The following is a 14,227-nucleotide window of genomic DNA, read 5'->3' on the forward strand; positions in this document are numbered from 1 at the left end:
ATTATCAGGTTATTACAAATTCTGGAGGTATCATCAATAGCACTGTCGATGAATTGAATGTTAGGGATGAGGGAAATGTCATCTGAGTGAATGAAGGATATTATTATTATCTAAAATGGAACAGATTTGGGTGGAGAGGGGGATTTTAGAGGAAGGAGATAATTGAGATTTAATTCTGTAAGTTTAATGTAAATTTTGCTTCTTTCATTTCTAGTAATCCTACGTATTTTTTTTAATTTGCTTTGCAATTTTTAAAGTTTTACCTGTAGATAAGCTCAAGCTCAAGCTCCTCTTTTTAAATTGTTTTATAATCTGTCTATGGCACGTTCATTACATAAAGTATGTATAGTTTTATTTGCTTGTTTGTTTGTTTTGGTGTTTTTCCTTCATGGTATTTTATTTCCTTGTGCTCCTGGTTATCTTAAGCTGTGTGACAAAAATATATTGGTAACTATAATTTGAGGCTTAGAGTGGATGCTAATGCCTCTAGAGAGAATTTATGATTTATTCTGCCAGGATCCTGGAAGTAATAGAAATCAAAGATCAACTTAAACTAAATGTATGGCCAGAAGTTCCCTCCAGATAACTCAGTCATGTGAGGGCTTGTTTCCTTCTATTTTATCCTCTCCCCAAGGAATGAAATTCTTTGGTACCCTAGACCATTGTTGAGAAAATCTCTCATTACACTCCCAAATTTTTATGGGTCTTGAGTTTTGATTGCTATTCTCGTTTTGCACCAACTAGCATGCCCCTTTGCCTCTCTCAATTTCAAATTTATCTCCACTTTTGACCCAATAATCTCATATTGTCTCATCAGATTTCTGTCACTTTTCAGAGGACATGAAATATTAATATATCTTATCTACTTCTTTTAACTAAATCTCGGATTGAGGAAGGGGAGAGATTGATTTAATTACATAATCAATCATTACAGGAAACAAAGTGAAATGTTTCATTGTGAACATGAAGGGATTAAATGTCTGTTATACAATTTAGGGGAGAGGTTAAGTGGGAAAGCTCTCAGGGGAGTCCAGTATTGGAGGTATAATTTAGGGAGACATTGACCACTTAAGATGTGAATGTAGATAGAGAAGAGGGCCAAAGGCCAAGGATCAGCAACTCCAGAATACAGAGGTAAAAATGAGAAGAGGAAGCCAGCATAGAAAATTGAACATGAAGGGACAAGGAAGCCAGTGATGTTCGAAGTAAACCAACATGTCATGGCACAACTAAAGTTAAGAGAATAAATGTTTCAAGAGGGGAAGACATCCAAATGCTCCTCAGAAACTGAGTAAATGAGAAAAAGAACAAAGAAGAAATCATTGACAATATGGAACCCAATGACAAGACCATTTTCAGGGAGCTTTGTGACAAAAGCCTTAATGAAGTAGCCTGAGGAGTAATAGAGCTGGTAACACTGAGTGATGACAATGACTTACTTATTTTCCATGAAAAAGAAGATAACAATGGAGCAGTAGGTAAAGGAGAATTTATGATCATAGTGGGGAGTACTTTTAAATGGAAAGTGACATAGTTGATTTCTTATTACACTCATCTTTTATCTTTTTTTTGTTTTGTTTTTGAGAAGTTTCACTCTTGTCACCCAGGCTGGAGGGCAATGGTGCGATTTCAGCTCACAGCAACCTCCACCTCCTGGGTTCAAGCGATTCTCCTGCCTCAGGCTCCTGAGTAGCTGGGATTGCAAGTGTGAGCCACCAAGCTCAGCTAATTTTTGTATTTTTAGTAGCAACAGGGTTTCACCATGTTGGCCAGTCTGGTCTGGAACTCCTGACCTCAGGTGATCTGCCCACCCTGGCCTCCCAAAGTGCTGGGATTACAGGCGTGAGCCACCGTGCCTGGCCTACACTAATCTTATAGAAAGGGATAAATTGCTGATGTAGGTGAGAGTCAGGATAACTGCAAGTGTAAAGTCTTTGGACAGACAAGATGGGAGACAATCTAGAGTCTATGGGATCAGGGAGACTTCTTCCACTGTGATAAGGAAGGGAAGCAAAGCCAGTGAGTCGAGATTCATGGAGGCTGAAACAACTGGTGATGAGAATTTATGTTTTGGTTGGATTTGTTGGTCTTCATGAAAGATAGGTTTATCTTCCAAATTATTTTAAATGTCTGATAAGAAAGTTTACATTGAAGAGGACTAAAGAGAGCCCATATGCAGGAGAGACTGACTGGAGTGTGAAAGGGTCTAAAATTTTGCTACTTAGGGAATTAGTAGGCTTCAAATAATTGAAATATAGTCATGTGGCAAAGGCAGTAGTCTTTTCTGTGAGAGAGTGTGTGTGTGTGTGTGTGCAGCTCCAGAACAAAGAACTATGATGAGTAGGTGGAAGTTAAAGGAAGATAGATTGCAATTCATAAAAATAAACTTCATAATGATCAAAACTTTGTAATCTGAAGTTGTGAAGTTCCCTTCACAGAAAATGTTCAGAGAGCTGACTGAGCTTTGTGAAGACATTGTGGAGATAATCCTTGCATCAAAAAGGGACATCGTATTTGACACTTCAATCTGTACAAGAAGTGAGTTTGTTGAATTCTGTGACTGGTTCATCTTTCCATATCATTTCTCAGCAATGTCATCTTTTCTTCCTTATGCTTTCCTCTTGATTGTAGTGTTGTAGCATCTGAGTTGTAATTAATGGAGACTTTTAAACAAGTGGTGATGAGACAGAAAATGTAACTCACATTACTTTCTATGGTCATATTTTGCAAGCTTTACAGACAAAACATGTGGCATCATAGAATTCCTCTGAACCAAGGTTGTCAGAGAAACTTGAGGAATCACATATCCAATTTTAGTTTCTTTTCTCCTTGTTAATGCTTTTGAACTTGAGTCTGTGCATAAGATGTTTCAATAGGGTTATTGCTTAATTAATTAGAGACAAGAGAAGAATAAAATTTTAAAGAGAGAATTGTAGATTACAGAGGCAGCTGTTCAGCAGTGACATGGACTAATTTGATAACTGAAGGGTCAGTACCTGCAAAAGTAAGAACACTGCTTACAAGCATTAGCATCCAACTAGTAACAATGTGCACGCCAGGATAATGAACTTAAAACAATAGTAATTAGCAGGCTAAGACAAAGGATTAAAATTAAAAATGAATGGTGCAGTGCTTTCCGCTTGCTTGTAAAACAGCATTAAGCCAACTTAATCCATTTTAATTCATTGTGAAACCTGCAGTGCAAATGAGATGGATTCAAGGGTCAGGTTCAGCTCCTGAGAAAGTGCGATACATTCACCTGTGACAATTCTTTCTGGAATGATAAAGTAAGGGAAGTCTCTTAAGAACTCTGAGTGACTCCATAAGGTCCCCAGAGATCAGGTGTCAAAGTTGTCTATCAGATGCCTGAAAAGAAAAAAGGAAAGCATTACTCAATGCTATTGTGAGACAGTTGTCATTGACTGATCAGGCCTTTGAAGCACGCTTTCACAGTCAATGAAACCACCTGAATAGATGAAAGCCAGACAGCTTCTGACAAACAAGAGTCTATGGAATATTCATTGTGCATCTGGGAGGGAAAGATTAATGTATTAGAAATTAAAATGGGACCAGAATGTATGATCTTGCTCTAACACTTGGCCAGACCTGTGTCACCCACTGCTAGTGCCTGAAGTCGACAGACAATTCTGCCAAGGTAACCGAGAATCATTAAGCATCCTGCTATTGTGCATGGTGAATAATAAAACTTTCCCCCTATTCTTTGCCTGGAGCTGACAATGAATAATTCTGGAGCTATTTGCAATGTTAACAGCACCTATCTTGCCCATCCATTCCTTTACGATAAGGATGGAAATATGCATTTCAACAGTCTGTACAGATACTGATTCACAGGCATTTCAAAGGACACCTGTCACTCAAGTGAAGGACCTGTCAGTCTCCAATGTATGATGGTGCCAAGAAAATGGCCAAAAAAGATTATCTGTACTTTATTTCTCCCTTTTTTTTCAGATTAAAACACTGTTACATTTGCCATAGACTGACAAGTGATTTACACTGGCAACTGTAATGTGTTTAAGACTAGAAAAAAAGCTATTCTCTTAGGCAGGCATATTCTTCCAAGGTTTACAACTGTATCAAATATACTATCACAAATGTGATCTAGACCCTACAGAATGTCATTATGCTGGATATTAGAAGCATTTAATCTGTTTGCTGACATAAAGGTGACATTGATAGAGCTGTATTTTTGACGTCAGTACCAGAGTAAATTTACTTTTAGGAAATTACAAGTAGACTGGAATCCTTATAGTGGGATCAGCTGGTATTGGACATGTTCATTAAAATTATGTGTTACTGAAGATTTTTCCTCATCAATATATTATTGAATGTGCATTTCACATGAGAGCAGTTTTTATCATCAAGAGAAATTCATTCCACATATTCCAAAGCTTAAAATCCAAATACCAAAAAGATTCTTAATGTTTTGTTCCCCTTGACAAAAATTGAGACTTTATAGATCTTTGGACATCTTCAAAGTTCTTGTTCCCTGAACAAATTCTGTGAGTCTTGTGAGGATCCCAGTTGTTTTATTGAATAAATTATTCTATCTCTTTTGGTTACAGTTAATAATTAAGTTTATTAGTTTATAATTAAATTAAGTTTATTAGTTTAAAATAAGTTTACCAATTAAGTAAATTAGTAAACTTCAAAGAGGTCTAACCTTCCTTACCCTTACTGAATGTCATGAGAGTTCCACTTCTTATCAGGGTTCTAGGGGTCTTCTCTTTTATTCCTGAGAGCCTCCAGCCCACTACACTCTCTGTTGCACACAAGGTGATTCTTGGAAGATGTTTTCATGGTACTCATGTACAAAAGAAGGCTTGCATTTGCTATATTAAAGAACTGAACTGTGGAGTTCAGCTTCTGGCTGTAAGTGATTCCTCTCTTCTTCTAATGTACTTCTTATAAATGGCAGAATCTGTGGTCTTTTTTCCTAAAGGATATATGTTAACAAGAGAACTGTTCTACCAAGAAATTGTCCCACATCTCCCTGGCACAAAGGGGTACATTCAAGTAAATTGTGACCAACTTTATGCTTTGTGATAGATGATGGACAAATAGACAGATAACTTGATCTTGCAAAGAAGGTAAATGTGATCTAATTTGAGGCTCTGAAACTCATACAACTATTGTAAAATTGCAAAAAGTTCATTAAAATCACTGATAGAGATATAAAACATTTAAAATTATTATGACAAAACATTCTTTCATGAAGCACTGTTATAATGAAAGTGGATGAGGTGGTTGAGGCAAAGAGATAAAACAGAAAATGTCTTGGTTAGAGAATATGATGGATATTAGTAGCTAGATTCATAGTACTTTGGCTTGCAAACATTTCCACAAGGGTTTCATAAATTCCTAATTTTTTCTTTCCTGATAACGAATGTATTGTAGCCAAAGTCTATCATCCAGCTATTGTAAATCATTTTTCCAGATTCAAGCTCTAAAATCTAGATTTGTGATGCCTCAAAACATTGACAAGGAATTGTTTGAAATGTCTTCTCCAGTATTTTTCCTGTAACAAATTACAAAACAAATGTATTAGGTCCCAACAAAATGCCAAGTGTTTTAGTCACTTTATAGAGCACTAAAGTGCTGGGCACTACATACATTCTCCAGATATACTAATTTTAAGTGATCTCTTCACACTATTCTACTTTACCTAACATCTATGTGTTTTAACTTAAAATTATCAGTGCTGAGGTAGATTTCCTCTTTCTCATCATACCAATATCAATTTAAAATCTCCTCATTTAATTTTCATTTTTGAAAGTGATTTTGAGATGCTTCTTTTATTAGTCCATTTTACAGATGTGGAAACAGTACAAGGTCTAGCAGTTAGTAATCAGTGTAGTTAGGTTTAAACTCAGCCAGTTTGACTCCAGAGTTCATGCTCTAAGCTATAATTCCAGAGACTCACTCATGAGAGGCATTTTGTATTAGCATAAATTCACAATCAAGGTGTAACTAAACTAATTGTGTACATAAAAATATGTTGTACTTTTGGCTAATAATTTCCTTGAGAAATGAACTTTCTTGCAATACGTAATCACTAACATACAACATCTGATACGTGAGTATTTAAATGATAATAAAGCCAGATCAGTGTAATATTATCAACTAAAATATCTCTTAAAATAATGACAAAGAAGGAAAAAATACTTTCTCAATCCTATGTTACCATTAGCAACGCCTATTTCTGGTGGTGCCAATGGACAGCCAACCTAAAAGGAAATGTTGAACTTGTATTTCCAATATTTAATTAATGCAATGAAAGAAAGTAGGATAATTTACTTCCTCTGGGATATAGAATAACCAAATATCATTTGAGATCAGGACAGAATAGCAACAATTCAAAGCATTATTTTAGATTTTCAAACTTGTTGGAAGCAAAGTCTCTCTGTTTAGACAAAACCACAATGCCTTTTTTCCTACCAATTGACCTATTTATAAAAATCCTCTTTGACTTCTATTTTTATCAATAGATACAAATCTGCAGATTTTATTGATAGATGTTAAATTTCATATACAAAATTATATTAAGTACTCTAGCAGTGCAGAGACTAACTAGGTTGTTATTTGCAATTAACTATTTGCAATTAGCTCAATATGAGGTGATGAATTGCTAGATTTGTGAATTAAAAAGATGGTACCAAAGTGAGAGAGATTTCCAAACTGTGTGATCTGAGTTAATTCCTGGCAGAAACGTGGTCAAGCTTGCAAATGACCACTCATCTACGGAAATTATTTTTAGAAGTTTGTCTTTTGAATGAAAAATAAAAGAAGTTAGAGTATGATGGGGAATGAGGTTATGTTGCATCCACAGACCCCAGAAGCTGGCTCCAAGTTTCCCTAAGGATAAAGGTTAGAACAAAAAATTGAAGAGTTGTTTTCTTGGGAGCCTTAGTGAGGCTCTTGGAACACCCAGTGTGTTTCGGGTCTGGGTTAGGAGAGAGGGCCATCCTGCACACTATACTGTGTCCCTGGCCACAGCAATATGCTTGACATGCCAAGAACTGCCCAACTTATTTGAGCAGTGAGATGATGGCACCCAGGAGAGAAGTAAAATAGTCTCAGTATATGTTGTCCCCAAGTGACTTGGCAACAGGCATTGCTGAGGAAGCCAGAGAGTTGAAGCAAATATAAGATTTGTTTCTAAATACATGTGATACATGTTCTGAATATTCCCAGGAGACTTGATGCCAGTGCATGGCTAATAAGCCAACAAAAAACTTTGAGTCTCACATGTACATCGTTATTACATTTTGAGTTGATTTTCATGTGTGGTGTAAGATAAAATTACAATTTCTTTTTTTTTTTTTTTTTTTTGGTGTGTGGATATCCAGTTTCCCTGACATCATTTGTTGAACATACTATCCTTTTCCCATTGTGTAGTTTTGGCACCCTTGTCAGAGATTAGTCAACCACATATGTGTGGATTTATTTCTCACATCTCTATTCTGTTCCATTGGTTTATATGTCTATCTTTATGCCAGTACCATACTGTTTCAATTACTGTAGGTCTATAATGTTTTTGGAATCGGGAAGTGTGATGCTTCCAGCTTTGTTCTCTTTCTCAAGATTGTTCTTTTGTGATTCCATGTGAATTTAGGAATTTTTTTTTCTTTATACAAAAAATGCCATTTGGATTTTGATAGAGATTGCACTAAATCTGTAGGTCACTTTAAGTATTATGAGCTGATATGGTTTGGCTCTGTGTACCCACTCAAATCTCATCTTGAATTGTAATCCTCATGTGTTAAGGGAGGGACCTGGTGGGAGGTGATTGTTTCATGGGGGTGGTTTCCCCCATGATGTTCTCATGATATCTGATGGTTTAAAAGTGGCAGTTTCCCCTGCACTTTCTCTCTTTCCTGCCAACTTGTGAAGAAGGTGCTTGCTTCCCCTGTGCCTTCCGCCATGATTATAAGTTTCCTGAGGCCTCCCCAGCCATGCAGAACTGGGAGCCAATTAAAGCTCTTTTCTTTATAAATTACCCAGTCTCAAGTAATTCTTTATACCAATGTGAAAACAGACTAATACATAAACATTTTAACATTATGAAGTATTCCAATTCATAAACATGGGATGTTTTTCTGTTTATTTGTGCCTTATTTAAATTTTTCCTTAATATTTCATAGTTTTCCATAGACAGGTTTTTCACGTTAGGTAAATTTATTCCTAGGTATTTTATTCTTTTTTGGTACTATTACAAATGGGATTGTTTTATTAATTCCCTTTTCAAAGTGGTCATTGTTAATGTTTCAAAATTCAAGGGATTTTTGCATGTTAATTTTGTATCCTGCAACTTAATTTATTTACTCTAATAGTTTTTTTATGGAGACGTTAGGACTTAATAAAAGATCATGGCATCTGCAAACAGGGACAGTTTTACTTCTTCCTTTCTGATTTGGATGCCTTCTATTTTTATTTGTTTATTTATATTTATATTATATTTATTTATTTTGCCTAATTGCTTTGGTTAGTACTTCTAGGACTATGTTGAATAGAAGTGGCAAGTATGGGCATCCTTGCCTTGTTTCTGATCTTAGAGGAAAAAATTTCAGTTTTTGACCATTACATATTATGTTAGCTGTGGACTTTTCATATATAAAACTACTAGAAGAAAACACAAGGGAAAGCTTCATGGCATTGATCTTTGCAATAATTTCATGAATATGACAAAAGAATCACAGGTAACAAAAATATAAAAGTGTAACGACATCAAACTAAAAAGCTTTTGCATGGCAGAGGAAACAATAAACAGAGTGAAAATACAATCTATGGAATGGCAGAAAATACTTGAAAACAATAAACCTGATAAGGGGGTAATCTGCAAAACATATAAGAAACTCTTATAACTCAATATTTTAAAAAATCCAATTAAAAAATAAGCTAAGATCGTGAATAGACATTTCTCCAAAGAAGACAAGCAAATGGCCAACAGCTATATAAAAAATGCTCAGTGTCAATATTCACCAGAAAAATGCAAATAAAAACCACAATGCAATATCATCTCACCCCCGTGAGGATGGCTATTAGCAAAGAAACAAAAGACAAATGTTGGCAAGAATGTGGAAAAACTGGAACTCTTGAACACTGTTAGTGAGAATGGACAAAATGGTACAGATGTTATGAAAAACAGTAGGGAGATTTCTCAAAAAATTAAAACTAGAATTGCCTTATGGTCCAGCAATTCCACTTTTGAGTGTTTATCTAAAAGATTTGAATTCAGGATCTTAAAGAGATACTAGCATTCCTATGTTTATTGCAGCACTGTTTACAATAGCCAAGAAGTAGAAACAACCTTAACATCCATGGACAGAAAAATGTGGTATATAGATAAAATGGAATACAATTTAGCACGAAAAAAGAAAATTCTGGGATATTCTACAACATGGATGAACATTGAGGACATTATGCTAAGTGAAATAAACTAGTTGCATAAAGACATATTGCATGATTCCTCATACATGAGGTACTCTAAAATAGCCAAACTCATAGAACCAGAGTGAAATGGTGATTGCTAGTGGCTGAGGGGAAAATGAGGAGTTACTAAAAAATAGACATAAAGTGTCAGTCAAGCAAGATGAATAAACTTTAGAGATCTACTGTGCAACCTTGCACCTACAGCCAACAATAATATATTGCACACATAAAAGTTTGTTAAAAGGGTATATCTCATGTTAAATGTCTCACTACAATCAGAAATAAATAAGAAAACAAAGGAAAAGAAAACACCCTAGGACAGTATTTCCCCACAAATAATTAATAAAATAACTTTATTATTAAAAATACAGATATGAGTGTCCAATTTTGTTATATGTAACCATAATCTGATTACATTTAGGACACTGATATTAAATTTTAATCAAAGAATCTCCAAGATTTGTTAAGTATTTCATGATAGGAAATAAAGATGTGCTATAAGTAGAAAATACACACCAGATTTCAAAGATTTAGTACCAAGAAATGTAAAATATCTCATTTATAATATTTATATTAATTGTATGTTGAAATGGTATTTTTGATATTAGATTACATAAAATATATTATTGAAATTAATATTGCCCATTTTATTTTTTGTTTTTCTGCATGTGGATACTAATACTTTAATATTATATATCTGACTCACATTTGTGGCTTATAATATATTTCTGTTGAATAGTGCTGCCCTAGACAGTGCCTAGTGTCTAGTGCCTAGTGTCTAATGTCTCGTATCTAGTGTCTAGTGCCCTAGAAATGACACAATTGGAACTGGTGGCCACTGGGGCAAGTTTAGCTGATAAAGGGATTTTTAAAAAATTTTTAATCATTATACATATATTTTATTTTATTAACTTTTTTTAGATGGAGTCTCGCTCTGTTGCCCAGGGTGGAGTGTAGTGGTACAGTCTTGGCTCACTGCAACCTCCGTCTCCTGGGTTCAAGCGATTCTCCCTGCCTCAGCCTCTCGAGTAGCTGAGATTACAGGTGCGTGCCACCATGCCCAGCTAACTTTTGTATTTTTTAGTAGAGATGGGGTTTCAACGTGTTGGCCAGGCTGGTCTTGAACTCCTAACCTCAGGTGATCCACCCACCTCGGCCTACCGAAGTGCTGGGATTACAGGTGTGAGCCTCCGCGCCCTGCCTATGCATATATTTTAATGTATTACAAAAAAATACAACTGACATTTTTTCATACATAGTATTGCTTTGAGATGATGAAGTAGGTAGCATCATGATAATGCTGTTTACACAAACCCAGGAGTTATCAATGCCACAAACCCTCCTTTATTAACTGTTCAGAAATAGTACTAATTACGCAAATGATTCCAATTGCTGGTATCTTGAAGTTCTCTTATTTCTGTACTCTTTCAATGCATATCTCTAAATTTAGAAAATAAAACCTACTTGTTTAATTACAGGAAAATCTTAAATTATTGTAGATGTGCTTCAAGATTTAGAAGTAGCTGGTAAAAGGGTTCTATTTGTCAGTGTCTTTAGGTTCAAGTCACTGGGTTCTCATCTTTTTTTCTCAGTTTCGTGAAGAGTAGAAAGTGAATATAAGCTTTTATGTTGATGTTTCATCTTTCAATTACATGTAGTGTGAGACGACTTCAGGGTTTTCCAAATAAAACTTCTAACCTGAAAAATCACACATCTATTTAGGACTAAAATGAGAATATATCTTGCACATCGACATGTTTATTTGAATGATAAAAATTTATTCTTACAAGGCATGATGTTTGCAGTAGTATTCTGTTAAAAAGCATATGAATCACGTGAATGAAATGATGGTAACACTGAAGCTATAAGGTGTTGGACTCTGTTGACTGTGGAACCTTGGTAGGAATTCATATAAGAGCTCACTGAAAATGTACTCATACATTCAAACATTCAATCAATATTTATTGTACACATACTAAAACAGGTTTAGGCTGAGGCGATAAAGCAATGAACACAAAATTATCTGGTCTTCAGGAACTTTGTATTGAGAATGGGAGAGAAGGAAGAGAGAAAAATAAATAAGATTCTATGGGGCTTTGTAGACCATTATAAGGATTTTGGTGTATACTGTAAGTGAAATAGGGTTGACAGCCAGCCAGCCAGAGAGAGAGACAGACAGTTCAGTGTTGACTTCAAAGTTGGAAATATGTATGAGGATGTTTTTTAAATAATAGAAAAAGATGTCATGCGTATTTTCCCAAACCAAATGATAAAAATAAATGGATAACACATGCTTGTTTGCAGAAATTCGTGAATAGGACAGATTCAGAAGAATTCAGACAGAATTCAGGTTTAGGGAATTTCTTCATAAGGTTTCTTGGAATACAATTGTACTGAAAAATAATCACATATCAATATGGTTAGAAAATTGGTTCTTAGTTCCCAAACCTGTCAGAGAACATAAATAAAATATATTGCTCTTTCTCAGGAGATACATGTGTGATATGGGATTTTCTTTTTCTTTTCTTGACCTTCAAATAATTGTTTATTATGATGAAAAATTATATACAAACAAAATGTCCAATTTTAGAGGTGGAATGAAATAATGATGGCATGTGCATAGGATGAATTACTGTGTAAATTATTAAAATACTTTAATGACCTGGGAAAATTCCCAGAGATGGAATTTTCATTACTGATTAGCCTCAAACAAAATTATGCAATCATTTTCCTAATATAGAGCCCAGGTTCTTCTTAAATTAAGTGTCATCTAGTCAAGTGACACTTTATGCTATTATATAATTGATAACTTTGTTATTTTTAGTGACAAACTTATCTTTAGTTGAGAAGATGATTATATCATTAATAATTCTATTTTATATTTTATTTTCAAATTAATCACATTGTTTTGTATTGTGTTTGTTTTCATGGTTACTTTGATTCATGGCAAGTGACACTGGTTGTACTGCTTTGAAGGTATATAAGTAACATGATTAAATTGATCAAAGAAAAATATTAAGTAAGTACTTATATAGATGGTATGAAGAATGGCAAAACACAAAATTATAACTCAAATGGTCATGGTTTGAGGAGCAATGTCCTATTAAGATGTTAACATTTCCTGTGATGCCCATCTGCTGGGTCAGTCCCAAGCAATAGAGACCTCTAGCTTTCTTACATGTCTCTCATCTAGCTGACTCTTTTAAGCTATAGAGCATGTACTTTCTATCCTAGAGTGAAGTTGGTCTAGGCACTATGCATAGTGTGTTACAAGAATAGTATTCTTACCTTTAAGAAATGCGTAATTTTATAAATATATATGTAATTTATTAAAGGAAAACACTAAGAAACCTAAGAAAACCTTCAAATAAATATCAGACTTTCTCACAGAACGAGGCCAACCAGAAGCCTTACTAAAAGACAACCAAGCCAGGTGCAGTGGCTCACACCTGTAATCCCAGCACTTTGGGAAGCTGAGGCAGGCGAATCACCCGAGGTTGGGAGTTTGAGGCCAGCCTGGCTAACATGGTGAAACCCCATCTCTACTAAAAATACAAAAATTAGCCAGGTGTGGTCACAGGCACCTATAGTCCCAGCTACTTGGGAGGCTGAGGCAGGAGAATCGCTTGAGCCCGGGAGGTGGAGGTTGCAGTGAGCCGAGATCGCGCCACCTCACTCCTGCTTGGGTGACACAGCAAGACTCTGTCTCAAAACAAACAAACAAACAACAACCAAACAAACAAATCTATAATATCTTTGTTACTGCTTTCCAGAAATTCACACCCTTTACTTCAAAGTGAGATTGAAAAGTTCAAAATCCACTTCCCATATGAACATTTCCATCTTCACACCACCCTGTTATAATTGTATTTTGCACACATCCCTTCAATATGTGTGTTCATAGCCCATATTATAGAACTTAAATACTACTTTATTATTGTTTTCTAGTTAGTGAATACATTTCAACTAAACCAAACTTTTCATATTTTTTAATTTATTTATCTCTTTAGCCCAGAGAAGTAGATGCAAATAATGAACATCGCCGAAATATAATAAAAGTTCTGATATCTTATTTCTTTTTTTGTTGCTTTTTATTACAACCTCAGTTTCAACAACTATTGGGCTGGTGCAAAAGTAATTGCGGTTTTGCTACTGAAAGTTATGGCAAAAACTGCAATCACTTTTGCACCAAGCTAATACTCTTCTGTAACCTTGCTTAATTATCACCCACAGTTTCGAAAATTTTTGCCCTCCTAGAATCAAAAGTCCAACATCAGACGATCACAGTTGACTGTTTGCCCAGCATGGCACATGTGGCACTAGTCACTTTTTGTATCACTCACATGCTTTTGCAGAACAGGGGTGCAGATAAAAAGGGAAGATAATGTTGCAGTAGCATTTCTGCTCGTCACATGATTACACTTGTACCAAACCCCTGGTCATGTCCAATGCCAACAAGGTATAACCCAGTTAAACAGGACTGTTCTATTAAGACAGTGAAAGCTAACCTTAAGTAAATTGGAATAATAATATGAAACCCAAAGTTAGGATTACCTCTGGTTTGCTTCTTAATGTCAAAAAGCACATTTCTTTATAAATCTGTCTCAAAACTAGTCAGGAACTTTGAATTTTCAAAAGTCATGCTGAGGCTGTCTCATTTCCCCTTGCCATGCTCTTGCTCTGAAATATTAGCATCTAACCTTGTTTATCTTTGTCACTGATATTCTCAGCTTTAATAATTTCTAAAGCATAGAACATCCTACGCACAAGAGAGTCC

General features: G+C 35.2%; 1 long non-coding RNA gene across 2 annotated transcripts in view, besides 1 other annotated feature; it reads right to left on the reverse strand.

Annotated features, from left to right (window-relative positions):
- Positions 1 to 14,227, reverse strand: part of LOC105373710 (uncharacterized) — an 87,864-nt gene that overhangs the window by 33,215 nt on the left and 40,422 nt on the right. The gene's annotated exons all lie outside the window — the stretch shown is intronic.
- Positions 2,981 to 4,289: an enhancer, noted in NCBI's record as "VISTA enhancer hs573". NCBI's record gives its function as "enhancer in: midbrain (mesencephalon)[4/5]" and the evidence as "EXISTENCE:transgenic organism evidence [ECO:0001131][PMID:17130149]".

Source organism: Homo sapiens, chromosome 2 (genome assembly GCF_000001405.40).
Source record: "Homo sapiens chromosome 2, GRCh38.p14 Primary Assembly".
Classification (NCBI taxonomy): Eukaryota; Metazoa; Chordata; class Mammalia; order Primates; family Hominidae; genus Homo; species Homo sapiens.